Raw genomic sequence first — 25,693 nt, 5'->3', positions numbered from 1 at the left:
AAACTGATTAGCATGGAATAATATATACTGTTAGCATGCATATTTCCATTTAAACGTATCTAATGACTAGAACTTATGCAAACTTATGCTATATGAAGTCGTAAGTCACAGGTAAGTGGCACTTAAGTGAAAAACAAAAACGAAAAGCAAAATAACTGGTGCATTCCTGTTTGCTACTGACCCTCTTCAGTTGTTGTTGTAACTGTTCCCTCATGGACTCAGGACAATTGTCCAGCTGGGTCTTCTGCTCGGAGTAAAGCTCCTGAAGCCTCTCTAGTTTTTCCCTTTCAGCATCAAGCTTTACCTTCTCCTGAAGTTCAGAAACCAGAAAATAGAATAGAAATTACCTTCACACCCCCAAGCAGGTGCTAGTGAACATTTCTCAAGGATAACATAAACAAACATACACAAACTCTGGACAATCTATGAATGTAGAAACGTATCTTGTTAGTGGCTAGGATAAAGGGATATAAGTGGAAGTTAAGACAAAGGGACTGGGTTTCTGCATTCTCAAAGCACAGTCCACTTCATGGCAGTGACTCCCACTTTCCTTCCCTCCCTTCTTCCTGCCACCATGTTACAAAAGCAGGGGAAGCAATGGTCATGTTGAGTGTTGGTCATTGGCCAACAATCAAAGAAATGCCAACCAAATTCATAAGCAAGCCTTGCTAAGAGTCACCTGTCAGAGAAACAGACAAAGGAAAGGGGGCATTTACCTCAAGGACTGTCATAGCCTAACTCGCTCAAGGCCTTTGTATGGCAAGTTTTGGAATTAACTGGTTTTGTTCTCAGGTTAGAGGAATTCTAGGTGTATTAATTGACATCCCCGTCATCTGAAACAGTTCTAGCTATCTGGAAAACTTCAGAACTTACAGAGTTAGAAAATCTTAATCCAGAGAGATTATTCAAGGACTGAGAGAGAGCTAGTAAAAATGCAAGACAGACAAAGCAGTGAAGGGAAGGCATAGGCAGCTCAGACACACCAAAAATGTGACGGGGACTGCGGAAATACAGACTTTCCCACAACGACTGACATAAAAATAAACTGAAACACGGACTGTGAAAAAAAGAAAAGAGTCAGAGAAGAAAGGAGAAGGAAGAGAATACTAAATCCCTTCCAAGTCACACGTGCCAATGAGACCCTGGACATTCTCTAGGATTTAATAGGCAAATACTCTAATACAGTGATTACACGGCTTTACAATGCTACCTCTTAAATTAAGAAACAAAACTTCAGTTTTTTGGTGCCAGTCTTCCCAACTTGTGTTCTTTTTATGATGCTCTGAACAATTGAAACAAATTTTAGATGTGTCTTCTTGTGTAACACCATCAGCCTAAACAAAAGCACTTTATGAAGCACTTTGACAATTTGACCTTCGGTAAGTGAAATGACCACCACCTTCCCTTCCTTATATTCCTTTTATATAAACTGGCAGGAACAAAACTAGCTTCTAAGCACATCACAGAAGGACTCTTTTTAAGGATTTTCCTCTGAAATAGTCCTATGACATTATCCTTACTACATTTTATCAAAATGGCCATGATTTCCTACATAAACACATAGATTCCGTATAAAAGATGTTATGGTTCAAATCTAAAACTACATGATATCAATACCAGTTCACTTGAGTCTCCATTTTTCACTTAAATTTAGAAATGTATATTTGGCTTTAGAAATGTAATTTTCTTAAAATAATTAAATTCAGAAATCATAAACCTGAGACCCCTACTTCACATACCAATCTAACATGGTTCTGTAACAACTTAAAAGTTTAACAGACAACAACGAAAATTTCTTCGATCTTCAATGGTAAGTTTGCTCACTGTACACACCAATTGTGCAAGAGTTGGAGAAAGCAATGGCATTATTAACAGAACAAAGGATGCCCACGTGTGCTAATCCATAGTTAAACTGAATATACTAGCACCGTTAGATTTAGTCTTTAGTTTCAGAATTTTTTTTTTCCTTAATAAAACCAGCCATACAGAATATCTGTTGTCCTCTGGCTAAGAAAAGGTGTTCTCTCCTATGTGTGTGCATCAAAGATTGCCCTATTTACACAGCAAAATAATTTTATCCCAAGAGTTCTATTTCTAGGTACTGCATCACCAGAGTTTGCAGCAACTCTACCTCCAAATGGAAAGCTAAAAAGTAATTTAAAAAAGAAGACTACTCATTATAATTTAATAGCACATGTATAAAGCCCTAAAATTTAAAGTTATCTTTGACAGAAAACACTGATATGATATTTGATAATACAGAAAGCCACTGGCCTAAAACACAGGTCTCAAATCTGAAGAAATAACAAAAGTACTCCTGATGCTCTCAAATGTTTGTATTGTTAATAATAAACTCAAATCAACAACTAATAAAAAAAAATCTTTCATGCCTGTAATCCCAGCACTTTGGGAGGCCGAGGCAGGCGGATCACGGGTCAGAAGATCGAGACCATCCTGGCTAACACGGTGAAACCCCGTCTCTACTAAAAAAAAAAAAAAATTAGCTGGGCATGGTGGCAGGTGTCTGTAGTCCCAGCTACTCGGGAGGCTGAGGTAGGAGAATGGCGTGAACCCAGGAGGCAGAGCTTGCAGTGAGCCGAGATCGTGTCACTGCACTCCAGCCTGGGCGACAGAGTGAGACTCTGCCTCAAAAAAAAAAAAAAAAAAATCTTATATTTAAATAGTGCCTTACTTCCGAGGTGCTCAAAAGGTTTTGCAATTCATACAAGGGGGCATCTAGAAGAATATGCAAGCAGGCACCATTAGAACTTTTTGCAGCTTCTCTGTTTATCAGTAATGCTGTGACCACTACCTGGGTCCCAGAGCAAAAGCTCAGTGGGGCCAAAGCTAGGGCAAAGGAAGTAAAGGGAAAGGATGAAAGAAGACCAGTGGCAGGTGGGCCTGGCTATAAATCACAGAGGACGGCAGAGGTGATATAACTCCTGTGAGTGCCAGAAGTAGACCAACTTTGAGCCAGAAAGAAATTAATATTCCTCTATTCTATTTATTGTCCAGGAAGTTGTTAAAGGAAAATTAGCTCTAGGCAAGCAGTTAATTAGAGCTGAAAGTTTCACCTTCTACAGTGAATGTAAAATAGATGGCATTTGAGGGTTTAGGGATTCTTGCTTTTTAAATGTAAAATATTAAGATTGAGGTTTTTCTCTTCCACCATATTTAAATTGGTAAACTCACCTATTCTAACTGCAATAGGCACAATAATATTTTCCAAACACCAAACTGAGAGAGAATATAACTTTTTAAAAAATATTCATAAATGTACTTTCAGGAAAAAAAATGAATTAAAAAAATTTTTAAAATAGTGTCTCACTCTGTCATCCAGGCTGGATTGCAGTGGTATGATCACAGTTCACTGCAGCCTTTAACTCTTAGGATCAAGTGATTCTCCCATCTTAGCCTCCCAAGTAGCTGGGACTACAGGTGTGCACAACCATACCAGATTAATTTTTTATTTTTTATCTGAAGAGATGGGGGTCTCATTATGTTTCCCAGGGTGGTCTTGAACTCATGGGCTCAAGAGATTTTCCCACTTCGGCCTCCTAAAGTGCTGGGATTATAGGCATGAGCCACTGCACCTAGCCTAAAATGCATTTTTAATAAATTTATCACATTTCACTTTATTGAAAAAATTAAGATTAGAAGGAATTGGAACACTCCAGGAAAATCCAGATGTACAAGAGGGCATTTATAAAACCACAAACAGAATGGGACTTTCCTAGAGACAGCACTGTTCTCACTTTGACTTGTCTTCTCTTGATGTACGAGCAAAATCCAGTTGGGTCACAAATTCATGCCAGTTTTGACCTATTTTGTATATTTAAAACTGACGTTTCTAGAGTTCCACATTCATATATAGACAAAGATAAATTACCCATGGGTAAATTAAGGTAGAAATCAGTTTATAAAATTGGGCCTATATTTGCTTCCATAGTGAGTTGTTTGTTCATTTGCTCAATAACAATTGAAAGAAAACTAGAGGAGAGGAAAGAAAAGAGAGCAATTGATCCTGTCCTCATGTAGCACAGTCCAGTTAACCCATTAGAACAATGTGGAAGAGCTTTTAAATATACTATTTCCCAGGCCCCAATTTGGTTACAAATCCAGGGATAGAAGGCTTAGTAACAAGCATTTTAAAATCTCTCCAGGTTTTCTGATATGCAGCCAGGTTGAGACCCATTGACTTAGCCACCCAGGGTTATGAGAGAGGCAAAAGCAATTAACTACAATTTGATTTTTCTAATGAATATATAGAACATTAATACAGGATCCACCAAAAACTATTCTTAAAATATTTGGTCCTAATGCCTTTACTTCACAGTATAAAAGTCCTCTCTTACAAATAATATCCCAATTGTAAATTTTTTACATTTAAATTAAATGTCTCAAGTAAACCAAACAAAAACTGTGACAGATTGCAGTATGCAATATTCGTACAGACAGGGATGATACATTTCAAATTCAGAGGTGAAATATTTATCGTCTAACCATAAAAATGATCAGGATTGTTAAAAGTTTACACTAAAGAATTTGAACTTGCACACGAGTTGCCAATAATCTTGAATGATCTTAAAAACGCAAGGCTTGTCAAAAGACTACTTATTCTGCTAGATGGTTAAAAGACAATAACATAAATTGTCTCTCTTCTAAGTTGTATTACTGAAGGAATAAGCAAATTTAATTTGCTAACTCTCTGGAGTTTCAATACTACACAGAATATTCTAGGATACCAATTAAAAAATCATTTTATCATATTTAAGTGTGCAATACTTGATAAACAGATGGTTCAAGGTTACAAATTTATTAACCTGTAGGGCTGCCAGATAAAACAGAAGACATTCAGCTACACTGAATTTCAGATGAACAACAAATGACTTTAATGTTAAGTATGTCCCAATTATTGCACGGGACATAATTACAATACAAAATGATTCTGTTTGTCGGAAATGCAAATGTACCTGAGGTTCTTGTATTTCTGTTTGCTAGTTCTGACAACCCTGTTAGCATGATAAAGATTTTCCTAAAAATTAAAATCCACTTTTGTAATTTCCAAACTGTTTAGCACAGAACCCAGCACTCTAGGCACGCGGGCCACATTTCATTAGATATGCGGTCAGGTTTGGAATTGACGCAGTGATATGTCAAAATTTATAGTCTCTAAGCCTTCATTTATTTATTTGTTTATTTATTTATTTATTTGACAGAGATGAGGTCTCACTGTGTTACCTACACTGGTCTTGAACTCCTGAGCTCAAGTGATCCTCTTGCCTCAGCCTCTCAAAGTGCTGGGATTACAGGTGTGAGTCTCCACGCCTGGCCAGTCATTTTTAAGGGAGGTCCATTCAAAGTCCTATCTATGTATCCTAAAAATCCCTTTCCTTCCTGTTCCTAAACCCTGTGGCTTTGTTTGGGAGGCAGGCATCCTTATAGGTTCATAGATTAGGCAACTATTTTAGGCCCATAATCATTTATGTGAAATTCGTTTTTCTTTTAACAGCTTTATTGAAGTAGAATTCATAGGCAAAAACATGGCCCATGTTTAAGCATTCCTTTTGATGAGTCTGGACATATGCATACGTCCATGATACTATATAAGTCAGGAAGTATTTTGGATATTGGAATATTCTGAAATTTCATAGAGGTAACACAGATTATATAGCGTATATTATATGACATTTCCAGTGAGATTTGGAGCAGTACCCTCTAATCAAACATGTTACTATTTCTGTAGCTACATTTATGAATATTCAACCTTACAAAATTACTTTTTTTCCCCATGAAACTTTTCAGATTTTGGAACTGCAGAGGAAAGATTATAGACCTGTGTCAACAAATAATGATTGTTGAGTAACCAACCATTCTCTGCCTCTGAAGAGGAACATCCTATAATTCTTTCTTTCTTAGATTTTTTTCCTTTGGCTTTGACATTTTAATTACACAATTGATGAATGTTTAGCATAGAAAAAAAAAAAACTAGAAAGTCAGAAACTCAGGACTTATGTAATCAAACAACTACGAGAAAAAAAATAGCCTCAAGCTGGAATCCTATTGATTTAATCCCCAAATCCCATTATACAGTTCCACTTCCTCTGACCAGGGAGCCAACTTTGAAATGTAAGAAAGAGGCACGGGAAGGGCTGGGTCCCTGCTGCACACTGACTGTGACTTGGCACCTGTTCTGCACTCAAGAGGTATTAACACTTTGCTGAAGAATTCTGGGCTAGGCTCACTGTCTTTCTCTGGCTCCAAAGGAAGGATGGGGAGGAAGTAACAGGTACTTTGGCCAGAAAATCGTGGGAAAAAAGATTTAACCATTTAACATGCAATGATATATGCTTACTGTAGAAACATTAGGAAGTCAAAGAATTTAAGATTTCATTCAGGTACATGTTGTATGGCACAGAATGATTTAAGCTTCAGTTCAAAACTTTAAGTGTGTTTCATGTGTTTAAGAGTGCAGGCTAGGATGGCTACAAAATATAACAATGCATCTGTGTGAAGACACACAATATTTGTCCTTAAACAAAAGGATAGTTTGAGATATATGTTTATCATCTGGGTCATGGGAAGACCCCTCAGCACGTCTACTGAATCAGAAGCTTTTCTTAACCATTTTATTTAATTTTGGTACAACTGACTTGATTTTTGTGCGCTAAAAAGAAGCACAGATAAAACAGATAATCCATAAATAGAAGAAATTGAAAAATATTTTTAGTTTCAAATTTTTAACACAGCTAGAAATAGAGACAGAAAACCTACGCAAACAGATGCACACATCCGTATCTTCTTAGCCATTGCCTGAGATCAGGCTCTGCCTTGGAATGGGGATGGGGAGTAGAAGGGAAGGAAGCCAGTTCCACAGTCAGGCCTTTGCCCAAGCTGGGCTTCATGGTGCTAGCGGTTTCCCTACTCTGTCACCAGGCCCATTAAATGAAAACAGTTTGCTAGACCAGAGGTCCCAATCTTCTTTCACTTGCTATAAGAAAATGTGATGGTCTCTTTGCTTACTGCTTCACCAAGTAAATATACCCTCCAGATTTATGTCTGAGTTAGATCCTTGTTTAAGCTTTATCAATGTTCATAGTGGCTCCATCTGTGATGTGGCTACTATCCGAGAACACAACCGGCAGGTGGCATGTATCTCAAGGTCAGATGGAAACAGGGTTATTGATGTTCGTAACAGTGGTACCCCTAAGGGTAATAAAAGGCCAGTGCAGGAAACTGCTGCAAAAATGTTCAATAAATACACAGTAGAACAAACTGACTATATTTTATGTTTTCTATAGAAGTATGCCTATGGTTTATATTTTATAGGGTAACGAATGTGCAAAATAAAATGCATTCCTAAATCAGCTAAAAGAAGTAACACTAAAGACCAATCTTCAGAGCCAAAAAAATAACATCAGTAATTTCATATCAAGATTTGAATGCTGATGTCTGGGCTTGGTGGCTCACACCTGTAATCCCAGCACTTTGGGAGGCCAAGGCAGGCAGATCACCTGAGGTCAGGCATTCGAGACCAGCCTGGACAACATGACGAAACTCCGTCTCTATTAAAAATGTAAAAATTAGCTGAGTGTCATGGTGGGAGTCTGTAATCCCAACTACTCGGGAGGCTGAGGCAGGAGAATCACTTGAACCTGGGAAGAGGAGGTTGCACTGAGCCAATGTTAAGCCACTGCACTCCAGCCTGGGCAACAGAGAGAGACTCTGTCCCAAAAAAATAAAAAACAAAAGATTTGAATGGGGAGGCATTCTGAGGTATTATTAAACCTTTTTCCTATGGCTCCGGCCTTGTCTCCAAAATTCTAGAGCCAGGCTTACAGGATGTACTATTAACATCTGAATCGGAGCTTGCCCAACAGAGATATCTTTTCAGGTTTTGCTTTTCTCATTCCATGGTTTATATCTGACCACAGCAACAGGTGTATGGAAAAGGAAACACGATCCCTAAGGGGAAAGGCCACTTCCTCCTTCTGTCTTACGCTTTGGCATGATGGGCCGTGTGACTACAGGCCTCCTGGCATATGCACACGGGCAGCCCAGCCCAGCTGTCCTGAAACTTGGCTGCACTCTTTGGCAGGTGTTTGGCTCAGTGTTTTGCTAAGGCCCAGCCTGGACCAGCCATTAGCAGGAAAATCCAACAACAATATTCGTAAGCACACTGGGCAGTATCCTGCCTGGCACATGCTACGGGCTGGATAAACAGTGGATCACAGTGCCCTAGTGCCCTCCTCTATTTCACAGGCTAGAGTGGGATATAAATGTCTAGTAGGCTCAAAACAAACATAAATTATAAAATGTTTATCTGTAAAAAGAACAACAGGGAAAATCTAACCCGAACTGGAAAGGTCTAGGAGGGCTTTTCTGAAAAACTAACACTGATCTTGAGCCCTGAAAGACAGAACCAATGAGGCATGGAATATGAGGAAGGGAATTCCAGGTAGGGGAAAACAGTATCTGCAAAGGACTGGGGTTGGGGGAGGATGAATCTTTTAACAAACAGAAAGATAGAAAGGAAGGTGACTCTGAGAGTGCTGTGAAGAATGGGAGGGTGGTGACAGAAAGGCTGGTGACAGATCACACTACGGAATTTGGATGCATAGTCAAGTACAGTGTGATGCAAACCACAGTAATATGGTCTAATTTCTTCTTTTTAATCACATTGGCTGCTGTGAAGAGAATGGATTGAAGGAAAGCAAGTGGAAGTAGACTAAATAAGAGATTTTCATAATAGAGAAGAGAATGCTGTTAGTGGAGATGCAGAGATGTTGAAGCAATCAAGAAACAAGCTGGTAATCAACTGAATGTAGGGATGATAAGGAAAGACGTGTCAAGATCAATTTCCAGGTTTCTGTTGAACATATAGGTGAATAGAGATGCAATCTCCTGGTTGGAAAAACTAGAGGATGGAGGGTGGAGGGTGGAAGGCAAGGGAAAAGATAAGATCAAGAGTTCAGTTATGGGTGTGTTCAATTGGAAATACCCATGAAATATCCAAGTGGGGATGTCAGGTAGGCACAGGATATGAGTCAGAATTCCAAAAAGGGTTATGAACTAGAGAAATCCCTATGATAGTCACCAGCATATACAAGTTATTTGAAGCCATAGCTATAGAAGGACATGAGGGTACAAGAGAACTGAGTTCAGATGAGAGATAAAGAGTGAGAAAGAGGTAAGAGAAATAGATGGAAAACCAGAAGATTGTGGTACACAGAGGCAAACAAAAGGGAGACAGTGAAGAAGCACCAAGAAAAGAGCTGTCCCCTGTACTGAATGCTGCTCGGGAGTCTGATCATGAGGGGACTGAAAAGCACCCAGCAGGCTGGGCACCACTGAGGTCTTTAGTAGTCTTAACAGGAGAGAATCTGATGGAGGAGTAGAGGTCTAAGCCAACTGGAGTGGGAAGAATGTTTAATTGGAAAATGAAGAAAAGGAGACACAGTATACCCAGAAAATTGTTTAATAAGTTTAGCTATGATGAAGAGAAGAGAGATAAGGTAGTAGCTTATCGTTAATCGATAAAGTAGTAATTTATTTTAAAAATAATAATATTGGCATGCTGACAGTAAAGAGAGAGAAACTGACCCCAGGGGGTGAGGGTGCAGAAAGACTGAAGACCTCAAGAAGGTGGGATAGGATGACACCCAGAGCACATCCAAAGGGAGTGGTCTTTGATGGAAGGAGGGAACCCCGCCTTCATTGTGAGAAGATGGGATGCTTCTAATTTCTCTATGGTAAGATGATCTCTGAGCCAGAGGGATGAAAGTTGGCCAGGAGTATGAACAGAGTGTATGAAATAGCTGTGTCATTAAATGGTGGAATAAATTTATTTGAGAAACATAATAATGTTTTTGCCAAGCTGTGTTGAGTCTCTATTTGAGTTTAGTTGTCAAGAATACGTAGTAACATCATCTAGACCAGTCTTTGTTTCCACTTCCCACATCCTCTTCTGGAGTTCCTCACCCCAAGCCAGTTTCTGCCATTTTTCACATGATGTAATGACAGAGAATAATCCTACCTTCTAAGACCAACTAATTCCCTCATAGCTGTATGAGCTGGTCCTATGCGTCAAGCCCCTGTAGTCCCCTCTCCAGTGCATAGCCTCTGTCAAGCCATCAAAACAATATTAGGAAGGATGGAGGTAGCTTCCTTGCTTGTTTCTGCCCGTGTTCCTAGAATTCCACCTGAGAATTCCACCTTGAAAACATAAGATAACTTTCCCTGGGAAGTGAGATTTAACATTGGCTCAACTTGCTTCACTTTTGTGTAGAATCTGATATTAATGAGAAATACACAAATAGAATTTGCAGGCCATGCCATATGTGAGATACACAAAATAAATAACTACATGGATTAGGATGGCAGGAGGGTTCACAGGGAACATGATACCTAATTCCTATGTTGCACGAGTTTTCCAATATGATATACATAGCAATAAAACTACTCTACTATTACTTAATTTAATTAATATTTACTTGATAATAAAATATTAACACAAGACATCTGATGCCTCCAATGAAGGCTTCTTGCAGAATCTTTGAAAAGCATAGCCATTAACTGAATCCTTCAGTACTGCAGACTTAGACAGTCAACTCTTTGACTTCATTTTGGCCTTTTAGGAAAAATACACCCACTACCCAAATACTACTTAAAAGTTTGGGCCGGGCGCGGCGGCTCACGCCTGTAATCCCAGCACTTTGGGAGGCTGAGGTGGGCGGATCACGAGGTCAGGAGATCGAGACCATCCTGGCTAACATGGTGAAACCCCGTCTCTACTGAAAATACAAAAAATTAGCCGGGTGTGGTGGCGGGTGCCTGTAGTCCCAGCTACTTGGGAGGCTGAGGCAGGAGAATGGCTGAACCTGCGAGGCGGAGCTTGCAGTGAGCTGAGATTGCGCCACTGCACTCCAGCCTGGGCGACAGAGTGAGACTCCGTTTCAAAAAAAAAAAAAAAAAGTCTGGGGGCAGAATGAACGTACATAAAATTTAATATGAAAAGCCTGTGCAGTTTAATTCTGACATGCTGGTAACCAAGAAATTGATGTGTAGCATTTAATTTGACTTTATTTCTGACTACCATTTTGAGCTCATTCTCTGGCACCAAGATCAAATGCCCTTATTTATAGGTCTTAAACAAATAAGAGCCTAAAAAGGAAGTCACGTTCAGCAGAAATTCTTTCTACACATTACCACTAGAACTTACTCAAACTAAAAATTTTTTCTTTTTCTCAGCTTAGTGGAGAACATGTTGAGTAAGGAAGAATGTGTTAAAGCTTATTTGCTTTTTCTTTCTCAAATTGGAATTTTATTTTCAGTTTTATTGGAATTTTATTTTTAGTTCTGCTCTAACTAACTCAGAATGGGAGAGGAGAGTAATGTATATTTCCCAGAGGAAAAAAACACATAAACAGACAAACCCAACTACCATCCTGAATTCTAAAATTTGCAAGTGATTTTTCATACTTTCCCTAATAGATATCAGCCACCATTCAGGTTGTGATCCAAAATGTATACACAGAACCTTTTCCAAGATAAGTGTCAACTGTGTTTCACAGATAGCTTTCTCTTGGCAGTGTGTGAGGACTACCCCAAGAAGAAAATTTTAGAAACTCCAATACATTTGTCAAAAAGCAGTGCACTTGCATTGAAAACAATAGCAAGGCAAAGCAGGTGAGATGAGTGGTTCTCATTCATCTGTTTAATAAACAGAAAAATGAAAAGAAATAAAAGAAATGAGGCAACCCTATTTGAATTTGCTTAAGCCATCCCTACAGGGCAGCAGTGGTAAAGAACTTCAGTATACTAAAGAAATTACTTAAAAAACACAATGGAATCAGAAAAGCAGAAAGGCCAATGAAAAAAAGCAAACAAACAACGCACTCATCTCAAGTAGGATAAAGCTGCCAGGAATATCGGCTCACAAATTATATGAACTCTGCTCTCTCAGCATCAGCTGCCCAGTACCTGGCAGTTCTTGGTTTCTGACAATGTATGATCTTAGGATTTTTCTCTAGTGCCACTGCCTCCAGGAACATGACACACAAATCCAAAACCCCAGTAATGCATTCAACATTTAAATTCAATCAACTGGGACCACCACTTTGCCCATAAAAACTGCATTGAAATATAATTTTCTTTTACCTTGGTCTTTTCACCAACAATGTTCTTTTCCAGTTCAGCTATTTTCCGGTTTAGATGATCCAAAATCTCCTTCTCCTTCATAAGTTCAGTTGTTTCAGATTTCTGTTCTCCATCCAAAAGAGCACATTCCATATCCAACTAAGGACACAAACCAAAGCTCAGAAGTGTTTCACCTTTGGGGATATTCTCAACTGACCACCCTAGAGATACATTTGCAACAGCTACAAATTTCCAAAAGTAATACTGTAGCAGCCAGATCGGGTGCCTGAGAACACTCCAGAGAGCCCATGTGAAAGCAAGATTCCCATATAAGCGAGCTAGAGAGCCTAGAATATATTCACTAAAAAAACTAGCTATCTTATCACTTAACTTTTCTACTATAACCCCTCTTCTGCTCACTTCTCAAGGATATTTTGCCTATTTGCTTCAGCTCAAGATCAAGCACAAACCACCATGGGAGCAGCCACGTCTTTCTTTGTCCCTAGAGCATGGGAAGAGAAAGTTACCCAAGCCCAGCATGTGAGCTCTGCATTCCTCGCAATGCTAGCAGGAGGGGCTTCCAGCGTCTCTACGCAAGACAACAGGTGAGCAGTCCCCTAACCACTTAAGGGCCTATTGGTATCATCTGTAAGGACAGACACACAGATCTTCCCTAGGCAGAATTACGTGCCCCTTCTCATGCCATGGGGGTAACATAAAAATGCCACTGTCTTCTATTGTGGTTATGCAATATGTGTTCTCTCTGCTTCCCCCTGGTTTCCAAACCTCTAGAAACCTGGATCGATTTTTGATCCGTGTGTGAATTTCATCATGGTGCCAATGTGATATCCAACTCATAGTAAAGCACGTTCAGAAAACATTTGCTGGATTTGACCTTGAAATCTAAATACAGAGCACCTCAGCTGATAGATCCTCTGTTAGGTCAGGTCAGAAAGCACGTACTAGTTTAAACAAAGTTGGTTGGAGATTCATAAAGTACATTAAAGAGGGCTTAATATGTTTATCTCATCTGGTTGGAAAAAAAAAGAAAGAAAAAAGGAATGTAGAAAAAGGGTATTTTCACTCTATACAGGGAACCCACTGAATAAATGTTTGCTTGTGTTGACGTCTATGTATCTGGCCTCCAAAGCCTATTCCTGAATAAGTAGCAATATTTTTAAGCTGAAGGAAAGAAAGAAAAAAGGGAAGAGGGTAAAAAGTTTACCTCTCTGAAAGACTCATCCATCTGATCATTTATGTCTTTGATTTTTTGCTTAAGTTCCTCGAGGTTGTTCAGAATGACTATCCGGGTTTCTTCCATTGCAGCCAACTCCTGAGATCTCTGTTCTTCACTTATACCCTCTGGGGTCTGCGATTAATCAACACAGAAATGGATTATTCACACCTCAGTTCTAGAATTTCCCAACTTGACTTGTAAACCATCCACAGGTCTAGGGTCTCACAGTCTCCATGCCCATGTAGATTTTAAAAGCATCCCTGCAACTGCACGCTTGGAGCTCTGATGTGTTTTTCCCACATGATGCCATCCTTGGCAGTTAGGCTCTCAGGAGAGTTGAGACAAACCAACTTCAGTTCACCAATTCATATCCTTTTGAAGCTAAAAGAACTAAGAGATTACACAGATAAGAAAGGTGTGGTATATAGAGATTGAGATGACTTCTCCAAGGTTATAGAGAAAGTTCAGCATAACAGAGAACTAGAACTGACAGAAGACTTGTGGCATCTTCCTCGGGATCTCTTGGGCATGATGCTATGGTTATTACAAGCACAATATTCTCTCCCATCTTCCAGGTGAGGACATCTGCAAAAGCCTCTTGAATCTCTAGGCATACTGTTGGGTCTTGCTGCTAGGGTTACCTGCAAATGAGCATTCATGCTTATGTATTTCCTTCTCAACACAAGTTGGAAAAGCAAGGGCACATCACTTTGGGGAGCCATAAAATATTTTAAAACTACACACTCAGTATTAAATTAATTGATGCTTCACTTTTGTGTTAGTGCACTATTTCCTCTCTTTGTCCTATAGACGTTCTTGCTATATAGCATCTAAGACACTCCCTAAAACAGGACACTGGCCACCATTCATAAAATTATTTCATGGAAAAACTGGTTCATCGGCAAGAAATAAGAAAGTCAAGAAACAAGTGAGAGAGTGCATAGTTACACTCCTGAATGGAGCTATGACAGATGGCCAGGGAAGAAGGCAATATTGTAGATCACACACACAGTCAAAATGTGACTGTTTATTCTTCAAGAAGAGAATGGAGTGAATTACAAATAGCTTCTTCTTTCTAGAATTTCTGGTTAGTTATCTTGGATATCACCTGGTAGAGACCAATTTTTCTATATATACTATATGTCAGTATGAATGTATTATTTATTTAAATTATCCCTTTTTGAAAAAGAAGTAATTTTTTTGGATCAGCAAGTCAATAATTATACAGTTTCACAAATGAAAATTGAAAACAGCAGCCCAGTTGAGTAAATTATTGAATATTTGTCACTAATTATTAAAAAAAATCTTCAAATTAACCCCCCAAAAAACCCATTAAGTTGAGTATATTTTACTAGGTTCACTAAATTTATTTGACAATCCTGATAATACATTTAAGAAGCCATCCATCATGTCATATTCTGTATGCTTTATTCATATTTATATTCTTTATTCTTTACTTTGTAGCTTTCTAAAGTGATTCAACGATTCAGCATTTAGTACCTCAGGTTTGTTAGGACAAAGGTAAGCAGCTCTTCCAAGCTTTGACATTTAGCTTTTTAATTGTCATCTTACATGAAATATCTTATCAACTAATAAAACAACTGTTGACCTTTTTATCACAGACAATAAAGCTCATTGTCCTAATACTAAGGTGCCTGTTTTAAGCCATGAGGAATGCCTGTAACAGTGAAATGGCATTCCAGAATCACTGTGAGTAATCCTAGCAGGAAAGCCTCACCAAGGGCGGTATCCTGTTGGGTCAAGATTACATATTAGGTTTCTACTTCCAAAATGGCTTAAAAATATCTCTTTCACAGGTGGAAGCAAGGCATTAAGAAAAATACAAAATAACAGAACAATCTGCAAAACTCTAAACTTTATAAGCAAGTAGGGAGTAAAGATGGTTAATAGTGGGAATCATCTGCATAATTCAAAGTTTTTAGAAAGTTTATCACAGTAGATATATTTAATAATAGACAACTTAAGAGTCTGTTTATAGCAATAAATGCCATCTAGGAAATGTTTGTAGTTTTTTTCTAAGTTATTTATAAGAAGCAAAATCTCCAGGAAGCATTCTAAAACCAAACGCTTTATGATAGAATGGGGTGAGGACAATGTAATCTCATTTATTAACCAAATAAAGAAAACCAATAGAAAGCCAAGGTGTGGTAGCCACTGAGTAGCTTTAAGTTTTACAGTGACAGAGAACATTGTAATTTTAAACATATGCCCTTCATTTTAATTTCTCTGGGAATTTTTTTTTCCAGTAATGGACAGGAATCTACTAACAGTGACATGTTTTAATAAGCACATTACGTGTGTATATGCATCCTCTAATATGTTATCTTTGGGGAAACTTGATCCACACAGGAAAGGGGAGAGATGATAGGGGAAAAGACACTTTCTGCTTGCCCCTTTTTCACAGATTTCTTCTTAAAACCCTTTTTGCAGCCAAAGGAGAGAGGGGTGCAAGGGACTCAAAAGGAGGAAGATGAGCCACTTTCCAGACAACTTTTACCTCAGGGGGTGGTTCACAAAGGCCAACTAAAATTAGCATATTTCCAAAGTCATCTGCATCTGTAAGTGTTACATAAAGCAAGTTCTTGACTGGTAACTCTCAGGTTTTCTAAATATCATTAAGATTGTTCTGTATAGTTAAGTCAACTTACAGTGTTTTTCACATTCCTCTCTTCTCCATTTATCCCTAAATCGATTATTAACATTGTACTTTGTTAGGCAAATAATCCAGTGTGGAAATTAATTGAAGAGAAAGAGCATGCAAAACAAATAGGAAGGTTGTTTTAAAAAGAATTTTCTGTCTGCTGTCTCAAGGTAATATATGTCCACCTTCAGAAAGTAATAAGTAAAAAAATGTGTTTCTTGGAATCCATCAGCTCTGCTCACTTGTACTCTTTCTACACTGCTGTCTGGTAACCTGGGTGTCCTTGATGTTTCCTGCCTCTAAAGGATGCAGAGTCTTACCTCTCTTGCAACAACAGATGCTGCACTAAGCTTCAGAGGCCTCCTATTCCACAATTACACGCTTGAGCAATTAAAAACATCTGCCAAGATCTGCTCGTGTACGCACCAACAGCATTCTTGTCATAGCCCTCTCCAGGAGGAAACCTGTCTCCCAAAAGATAGTCTTTAGAGACAGCACACAGCTTAATGTTTTTAACAAAAAACTGGCAGATCTCCATAAAGGAAGATATGTGAAAAGATTTAAGATCAAAAGGAAGCAAAGGGTTTCTAAGGAAGCCCAATGGCTGATGACAACAGCTCAACTTTTCAAGTGATGGGTCATTTACTGTGCCTGAACAACAACTTTTGATTCCCCCTGCCCCTACTTTCTTCCCTATCCTGGTTTCTAATCATTGCAACTCTCTGCCCACAGAAACAGATGTCCTGTTCAGAATTAGTCTCCATTGAGAATTAGTAAGGTAAACATGGTCACTATAGCAAAAAGAAGGGATGGGTAGGGCTCAGTGGCGCACCCTTGTCATCCCAGCACTTTGGGAGGCCGAGGCAGGCAGATCACTTGAGGTCAGGAGTTCGAGACTGGCCTAGCCAACAGGGTGAAACCTTGTCTCTACTAAAAATACAAAAATTAGCCAGGCATGGTGGCGTGTGCCTGTAGTCACCGCTACTCGGGAGGCTGAGGCAGGAGATTCGCTTGAACCCGGAAGGCAGAGGTTGCAGTGAGCCTAGATTGCACCACTGCACTCCAGCCTGGGTGACAGAGCAAGACTCTGTCTCAAAAAAAAAGAAAGAAAGAAAAAAGAAGGGATTGATGTCCAACATGTATTCAACAGTCCGAAGTCCTGATGTGTATCATGGAAAAACTCACTAGGTAGATAATGATTTCTGACTAGGAACATTCAGTGTAAAAGTCTTGCTGTAGCTAAACAAACACGCAAACTCCCCTGAATAATGCCCATGTGATAAATTACTGCCAGAATTTAGTACCATGACAATATCTTCCTCTTAAAGAGTCAATGTGTCCTTCTCTTATAACAAAAGATTAACTAAAGAATCTCACAGTTGAACTTAATAGTAAGCATCAATTAAGCAAATCAATACATTAATCCTACTTATTCCTAAATAAGTAAATCTACCTTGTGAATATCATATCTGCTTTTTCCTCCTATTTACTATTTTTGTTATTCTAATTTTAGTCCAATAAAATTTATATCTTTCATTGTAAGCTCCTTCAAATCATTTTTGGAGAAATTTAAAACCTAAATTGTTGTAGAAAAAAATTCTTAACCTGTGTGAAAAAAACGTAATAACAAAAGATTTTGGGGTTCTAAGTCCTGTACAAAAAGAAAAAGAAAAAAAAATTTAAAAGATTTTTCCTTAAACTCCATTTAACAAATCCTCAAAAGGATGACAATTTTAAACCAACATACAACCAGAAGACTAAATAGTACTTATGAGTACCAATAAATCTTAAACTCCTATATGCCGAAAAAATACAAATAAAGTCAAAATAAAGACTAGTTATGATAAAAGGCTCATCTGCTTACCACAAACAGCTCTTACTACTCAGTAAAACACAAGAAAAATAAAACAATTAAAAAAATGGGTGAAGAACATGAATAAGTGGGTCAAAAAATACAAATAATAACTAAAAATATGGAAAGATCCCCAACTTGATGTATAATTAAAGAAAAGCAAATTAAACTTCTATCAATTTGGCTAATTGAAAAATTTTGACAATATGCAACCTTGGCAAGTGTATGGAGAACACTTGTGTTTATATGCACATATAAACTTAGTCAAAGTGTCACCTGGATATATAGACTCTTTTTTTAATATGGTCTTTTAGAAGTACGATTTGGAAATATTGAGTAAAGTGAAAAATACACAAACTCTTTGACCCAGCAATTCCACTTTTAGTAAGTGATCCCACAGACACATTTGCAGAATTGTGCAAATATATATATGCTACAATATTTGCGCATATGGATTTTATTAGCAAAAAAAAAAAAACCCTGAAAATAAACGGTAGTTGCAAACAAAAGAAGAGCAATTGGTCATTAAAAAGAATGAGGTAGAGCTATGTATACTAATATGCAAAGATACCCAAGGCATTTAGTGAGGGAAAAAAAGTACAGAACACTATGTGTGTGTCTGTCTGTCTATGCCTATAACAGATAGCCATATATACACAGAAAATATTAGGAAGGCAGGTAAGACAATTTTAGCACCAGTTTTACACCTGCTTATCACTCAGGTGTACAACCTGAAAGGGTGCAGGGAGAAGAGAAATGTGCTTTCTTTCTACTCTTCTGTGCTGCTACAATTTTTACAGTGCAAATTTGTTACTTTACAGTAAACACCCTAATTTGCTGCACCTCGCTCAGCTAATGACCTCTTAAATTGAAATTTCACTGAAAACATCCTGGATAATTAGCATGATAAAATCATCAGTTTTCATGCCAAAGCATATGCACAGCCCTAGACCTTAAATCCTAGTATCTTTGCTGGGCCAACATTACCTTTGGTAGGATACTTAGATAAGAGGACTCGCTGGAAGCTTTCGGAAAGGTGGAGGATGGTGGTGGAGGAGTCCGGGTGAGGTCACTGAGTAGTTCATCATTCCTGGTGCTCCTGGGGGTAAAGAAGCTGGCACTGCTCTGACTGAGACTCCCACAGCTTGCCAAGTCTGCATCAGGGAGGGAGTCTTTCCGGTGGCACCTGTATCTTGTGTCAGGGCTCATGAGGGCTTCCTCAAACACAGACTCCTCATCAGAGAGCTGCAGCTTCTCAAGCTCCTTGTTGATTTTCTGCACATCTTCCACGGTGGTCCCAGTAGATAAGCGACTGTCAGGCTTTGTGTATTCAGCACAGAGACTGAGGATGGTCTCCAGACGCTGTCTCTCCTGGAACACAGGGAGGAGGGGGAGGTCAGTGGGTTTGTGAGAATGAATACTACTCCAAATAAAAAGACTGAAGAGGCTGGGACAACTGGTGCTTGCATTCCATACATAAACCCACAAACACTTGGCTGGTGATGATTTTCATAATCTTTGACGGATGCATTTAAAGATCCAGGTGAAATGGGGTTTAACAATGCCCAACTTTCCTCCCAAACTCAATTCTGGCTTCTACTCTCTCCCCTTTATTGGTATATCACAGGGCTGGCCCTAGCACACATCAGCACTCAGTAAGCCTTTTCATAACTTATAAATTCTCCAAGGTTTCTGAAGGGTGGGGTTAGGGAGAAAGACAAGGTCTTACTCTGTCCCAAAGGCTGGAGTGCAGTGGCACAATCATAGCTCACTTTATTTAACTCCTGGGGTCCAGTGATCCTCCTGCCTCAGCCTCCCAAAAGTTGCTGAGATTACAGGCACATGCCATTGCACCAAATTCATTTTTTTTAAACCTCCATTTCCTATCTATCCTCCTTCCCAGGCTCTACTTATCTACCTTCAACAATATCTAGCTTTTTCATCACTACTGACTTAATACTTGTGCTTAAAACTAATTCTCTAACTTCCTAAATATTATCCTACTGTTAGACTATGTGCTAGACACACAAAGAGAAAAACAGCTACTTACTGAATCTTTTAATTTAAAAGACCTATGTCTTCAATTTTTTTTTCTTGAAAATTTTGAAAATTTTCTAAACTTTTTAATGCCTGGTCACCATATAAAGGTCTTTCTCTACTAATTTCTTATATAATTAAAATTATAAAAGAGATAGAATGTTGCACTAAAATGAAGAACATTTCACATGAAGTCCAGATACACACCGATGTAACTCAAATTCATAGGTCATTAAATCTTTGATTAATTTAGCTAGAAAATAAAATTTATTTGTTAAAAATCAATACATAGGCCATTGATATCTATAAGAGTACTGCAATCTTACCAGACTCCCCATGCAACAGGCAGATATCTATGATTTTGAACTTTAAGTAGGTTAATTATACAGTTTGTGAGCAACAGGATATAATTTACAAAATGCTTCTCTGCTTCTCATAAACCTAGACAGCATTGCTTGAGGTAGGAAATCTCAACATCTTTACCTTTCATGTTAATTCCAAGGCCAAAGTGAAAAAAGAACTAAAAACAAAAACCATCTATTGTGATCACATTTACCACACTGAGAAGAGGCTTCACACGCTCTCCATAGAAAAACATTTTCCAAACTGCTTATCAGCAATAAAGCAGAAAAATATTAAGCATCACTGGACTGCTGTTCTCATTTCAATTGCAGCTAATTTGTAAAGACAAACTTTACAAGACAATTAGCTCTTTATTAGTTGATGCTATTAACAAGTAGAAAAGTCAAATAGGAACAGACCAACATAACTCCTTAGGTTCCATTAAATACATTACTCAAATGACAAGACAGATATTTAAGGTGTATCTGACTTACATTTGCCCTCTAAAGTAATCCCCCAACAAAAAAAACAAAAGAGCAATAGCTTGATCAAAAGGACTAATAAACTAGTTCCTACAAGCTCGCACCTCCCTTTCACTGCCTGAACTTCTGGACTCCAGCTGCAGCTCCGTCCTCATGGCCTCTTCCCACGGCAGGCACTCATAGCTACACACTCTCATCTTGGGCTCTTCTGCACCCTATCCATCCAGGAGCCCTGGTACTTATTTATCTCTTCAGTTTCCACCAGCTGCCAAGCCCTGCCCACCTCAGCTTTATAGGGAGGAAGCAGGGGGGACATAGCCTTCATTGCCTTATTTTAAACTTCTCCAACAATCTGGAAAAGTCTACATGGGCATATGCAAAAACAACCTCCAAGAGCATATGTAAGGAGAGGGAGAGGGACAAGATGTTACATTTTACTTCTCAATAGCATCTATATTAGAGGCGAATCTCTGAAGGAAAGTTCTTTTTCTGCCACTTAGGTAATTAAGTTGAAGCATCTAAACTCAAGTCTTTCCTAATCTTTGTAGTATAACATGTATACATTAGCCTTGGCATAAATATTTGGGATTATCTGAAAGTTGTCCATTTCCAATTACCTGGGCTCTAAGGTGTGGTGTTCAAAAGCATGAAAGATATTTCTGTTCAGCCTGGAATACAGAGAAAAATTCCTCCCACATGGCCTTCCCAAAATAGTTTCTTTTTCTGCAGTGGTATTGCTTAATTCCAAAGGGAATAAATGATCCCAGCCTTAAGATGAATGCTATTTCAGACAGTGAAACGCAGTATTCAAAGGCTTGTGAACAGGAAGTTTGGTCTACTGGTATGTGTTTCTCTCTATTCTTATCACCCCATTCACAGCCAATCTGTTCAAGTTTGAATCACTGACACATGCAGCACTGCTGCCCACGAGTTTAAAAGAAAACCAGGTTGCACTGAGACACACTGGCCCTATAAAAGCTGCACTAAAGAAAAATAAACTGATGTCCAAGGTGCATCAGAAGAAAGTCTGTAAGGCATTTCAGAAAGCACTACAGGAAGCCTTTTAAGGAAAACTCTGAACAGAAATTACTGTCATAAGATAATTCTCCCTTCAGCCTTCTGCACTCTGGAGTCTTCTTCCTTCCCATTCATCATGCCAATAGCCTGCAACCTGCATGACCCAAATCCAGAATGACCATTCCAGACCAGAACCTCTCAAGAATCAAAGAGGGCACTGTTAATAATTATGCTGGAACCTCAAATGCAAACTGGGGTTGGTCCTGGCAAACTGTGATGTCTGTCCCCCTACTTAAAACCAAACTTTCTTTGAAGCTTCACCTAACAACCTGCTATTTAATAAGTCAAGAGGCTGGCTGCCCTCTGAGATTTCCAAATCCTACCCACCTTTCCAAACTAGGAATCTAGTGTTCATTCTCTTGAAAAGTCCAAGTACAGAGCCTACATACCTTAATGCTCCAAAATATCAGTGCTAAGAATTTAGAAAGTAGGTCATCTTGAATAAAATTATTTTACATATATTTTTTATTTTTTTCGCCATTCCCATTTCTCCTTTTCTTCATCTTGATCTCCCACATATATCAAAGGAAGTGTTGAAGGAGACACAAGATTTTAGAAAGTATACGTAAAGAAAATTGTGTGCAATTTTTCACTTAGAGGTTAAAGGGGAAAAAATGGTGATGGGCTAGGGGTATGTTTTTTGACCTCTGAGCTTTTTTCCATCTTCAGAGGACTGTGTCTGACATTGTTCCCACTGCAGATTCACAGCCCTCAGGAGAGGGTACATCCATCTCCTAAACCCATCCAAGGGCCCTTGTAACTAACACCAACCAGTGTAGGTCACAGGACGGTACACATACTGCATAAATACATACATTATGCAGAAAACCAACTGCTGACACTTAAGCACAGGTGTAATCTTTGCTAAAAACCTTTTGTTATAACCAGTATATTGGGTCATGTATTACTTAAAACAAAAGGTCAACCTTTAATTTTTAGATATAATTTAGTTGAAATGGGATTTTTTTTTTTTTTAGGAGGACCTATTATAACTGGTGTGACTTGACTTCTCTCTTCTATTAGCCCCAGGACTTCAATGTCTCCATAATCTTCAGTTCAACAAAGGTCTACTAACTTACTTATTGTCTAGTAACGTGCTGGGGATCCATAAATGAAAAAAGATGGCAAGATGAAAATTTTTTTCTTTTTTTCCTGAGACAAAGTCTGTCAATGTCACCCAGGCTGGAGCACAGTGGTGCACTCATAGCTCACTGCAAGCCTCGATCTCCTGGGCTCAAGGGATCCTCCCACCTCAGCCTCCAGAGTAGCGGGGACTCCAGGCATGCAAACTTGCCCAGTTAATTTTTTAATTTTTTGGAAGAAAGATGGCATCTTGCTATGTTGCACAGGCTGGTCTCAAGCTCCTGGACTCAAGCAATCTTCCTCTCACCTTGGCCTCTCACATGAGACACTGCACATAGCAAAGCATAGCATTTCTACCCTCAAACCTTTAATAGGAGGCACAAATAGGTGATCACTTATAAAAGCAGTGATAACAGAAGTTTATAGACCACCTATGAGTTCACAGATGGGTAAACAGTACACAAAAATTACAGAAAAACAAATTTGAGTCCTCAAGGATAAATATGAGTCTGTCTGCTCTACTGGGACAGTGGGGTGGGCAGGGCATTTCCATAAAAGCACCACAGAAGCAAAGGCATAGAGCTGTGGCATATCATGGTATGCTCAGAGATCAGCAACTAGTATGTGGCTAGAGAGATGGGGTCTTTTGGGGGAAGAGGAATGAGGTACCTGCACAAAAATGGGTCACATTTCTTCCTCTTAGGGATTACAACAGCCCTAAAGTAAGTTTTGGAAACCACAAGAGTCAGGAACCCTGGTCTGAGTGAGTGGTAGAATGAGAAAAGCTGGTGCTGACAGCAGGTATGCAGACTTCCCAGGATTCCATGTACAAATCCTGATGTTTCAATTAGGTAATGACAGAAAGGAGGGAAAACAGAAGCAATGGCTCAAAGTCTGTTATACGGGTCTGTCTGTTTTAGAGATAAATCCTTGAGGGTAGTAACTGGGCTATTACAATCAGTTCACCTCTTTCTGGACACAGGGTAAGATGGCTCCTCTCTTCCTCACCCTCAAACTGGATATGGCCCTCAGACTTGTACCGGCCAATGAAGTGTGAAAAGCAAGGTGTATCACTTCTGCATGAACAACAGCCAGGGCATAATTCATCACATGCCTTGCTCTAACATGGCAGAGTGGCTCTCCAGATTGGCTGCAGGTGTTGGCTCCATCAGGAAACGTGGAGCAGAGGCCTCTTTTAACCCACACTAGTCCTGGAGTGTAAGAAAGAAACAGACCTGTATTTAAGACTTGGAGTTTTTTTTAAATTTTACTAATGGACTTCTACATTATGACTAATAAACCATGTGCAATTTCAGGCAGAACACTTTTCCAAAACTTAGAGATGAGGGACTCAGGGATCCTACTAAAGAAAGCTCAGTTACTTATTGGGTAATAAATAATTTGTCTTCGCCCAAAGAGAGGTCTGACCTTTGCCATTGGCTTCTGGGAGATTATCTATGTCATACTCAGCTGCAGTGTCTTTGTTTAGGGTAGAGTGGGCCACATGTGATAATCTTAGGGTATAAGCTGGCCACTCCAGAAAGACCAATTATGTGATTTAGTGTGGGAGCCTTAAGTCATGGGTTATCAGCCAAGCTGGAGACTGAAATTAACCATGTGGGAAACTGATCAATCAGTAATGCTTATGTGATGAAGTCTCAATAAAAACTATGGCAAAACCCCATCTCTACAAAAAATGCAAAAATTACCTGGGCGTGGTGGCTCATGCCTGTATTCTCAGCTACTTGGAAGGCTAAGGCTGGAGGATCACTTGAGTCCAGGAGGCGGAGGTTGCAATGAGCTGATATAGCACCACTGCACTCCAGCCTGAGAGACAGAGGGAGACCCTGTCTCAAAAAAACAAAACAGAAAAAAATAGCTGACCACGGTGGCTCACACCTGTAATCCCCAAACTTTGGAAGGTTGAGGCGTGTGGATCACCAGAGGTCAGGAGTTTTAGACCAGCCTAATATGGTTAAACCCTGTATCTACTAAAAATACAAAAATCAGCTGGGAGCGGTGGTGGGCACCTGTAGTCCCAGCTACTTGGGAGGGTGAGAAAGGAGAATTGCTTGAACCCAGGAGGCAAAGGTTGCAGTGAGCCCAGTCGTGCTACTACACTCCAACTTGGGCAACAAAGCAAGACTCTCTCTCAAAAAACAAACAAACAAACAAACAAACAAAAAACCTGTGGGTACTACAGCTTGGGTAAGCCTCCCTGTCATGTGCACACTATCACCTACCAATGCTTAATGCTGGTAGAGTAACACTTTCTGACCTACAGGAAAAGGACATGGAAGTGTTGCCTTTGGAACTCTTTGGACTCTGCCCCGTGTGTGTCTTTCTTTGGCTAATCTTTATCTGTATCCTTTCCCTATAGTGAATCGTAACTGTGCTTATCATAGCTGTCAATGGGTTCTGTGAGTCTTTCTAGTGAATTATCGAATCTGAGGGTGGTCTAGGAAACCCCAGAACTTGCGGTTGGAGTCAGATGTGGGGAAAATCTTGTGTGGAGACACTGCTCTCCAGACTTTTCACTGGCTTTCACATTTACACAAACATTGCCTTAGTATTGTTTTTATCAGTTTAGGACAAATGATCTCATTTGTATATAAAAGTGAGGGGTTTTTATCATTTGGTTTTACAAATTATCTTTATGGAAGTCAGTTCAATATCTAGCTTCTTAGCCACACATTATTTTATTTTATACACTGGCTGGGAAGTCTGCCTTCAGGCTTGTGGTCAGGAAAACACTTTACTCTGCCACCCTTAGTTTAAATAGC

At 39.2% G+C, this 25,693-nt stretch overlaps 1 protein-coding gene across 4 annotated transcripts in view, besides 3 other annotated features; it reads right to left on the bottom strand.

The window, feature by feature from the left end:
* Nucleotides 1–25,693, bottom strand: part of PHLDB2 (pleckstrin homology like domain family B member 2) — a 244,022-nt gene that overhangs the window by 43,939 nt on the left and 174,390 nt on the right. For 2 of the 4 annotated variants that reach the window (NM_001134438.2, NM_001134439.2), the window contains exons 3-6: nt 18,877–19,260; nt 13,364–13,507; nt 12,160–12,297; nt 182–310 (exon numbers count right to left, since the gene is read on the bottom strand). In NM_001134438.2, the coding sequence (NP_001127910.1) occupies nt 182–310; nt 12,160–12,297; nt 13,364–13,507; nt 18,877–19,260 (795 nt within the window). The remainder of the gene's footprint in view (nt 1–181; nt 311–12,159; nt 12,298–13,363; nt 13,508–18,876; nt 19,261–25,693) is intronic. The other 2 variants (NM_001134437.2, NM_145753.2) reach the window with 1 other exon arrangement.
* Nucleotides 12,440–13,000: an enhancer, noted in NCBI's record as "OCT4-NANOG hESC enhancer chr3:111638426-111638986 (GRCh37/hg19 assembly coordinates)". NCBI's record gives its function as "activates a minimal SCP1, AML or CMV promoter by ChIP-STARR-seq in naive H9 embryonic stem cells {active_cell/tissue: H9 hESC(naive)}" and the evidence as "EXISTENCE:reporter gene assay evidence [ECO:0000049][PMID:30033119]".
* Nucleotides 12,440–13,713: a biological region, named in NCBI's record as "BRD4-independent group 4 enhancer GRCh37_chr3:111637713-111638912".
* Nucleotides 12,514–13,713: an enhancer, noted in NCBI's record as "BRD4-independent group 4 enhancer chr3:111637713-111638912 (GRCh37/hg19 assembly coordinates)". NCBI's record gives its function as "activates an origin of replication core promoter dependent on BRD2, P300/CBP, MED14 and CDK7 cofactors, and independent of BRD4, by STARR-seq in HCT116 cells {active_cell/tissue: HCT116}" and the evidence as "EXISTENCE:reporter gene assay evidence [ECO:0000049][PMID:35650434]".

This window comes from Homo sapiens, chromosome 3, assembly GCF_000001405.40.
Source record: "Homo sapiens chromosome 3, GRCh38.p14 Primary Assembly".
NCBI classification, from domain to species: domain Eukaryota; kingdom Metazoa; phylum Chordata; class Mammalia; order Primates; family Hominidae; genus Homo; species Homo sapiens.
The sequence above is the reverse complement of the archived record's forward strand: the minus strand, read 5'-3'. Positions and strand labels throughout refer to the sequence as shown.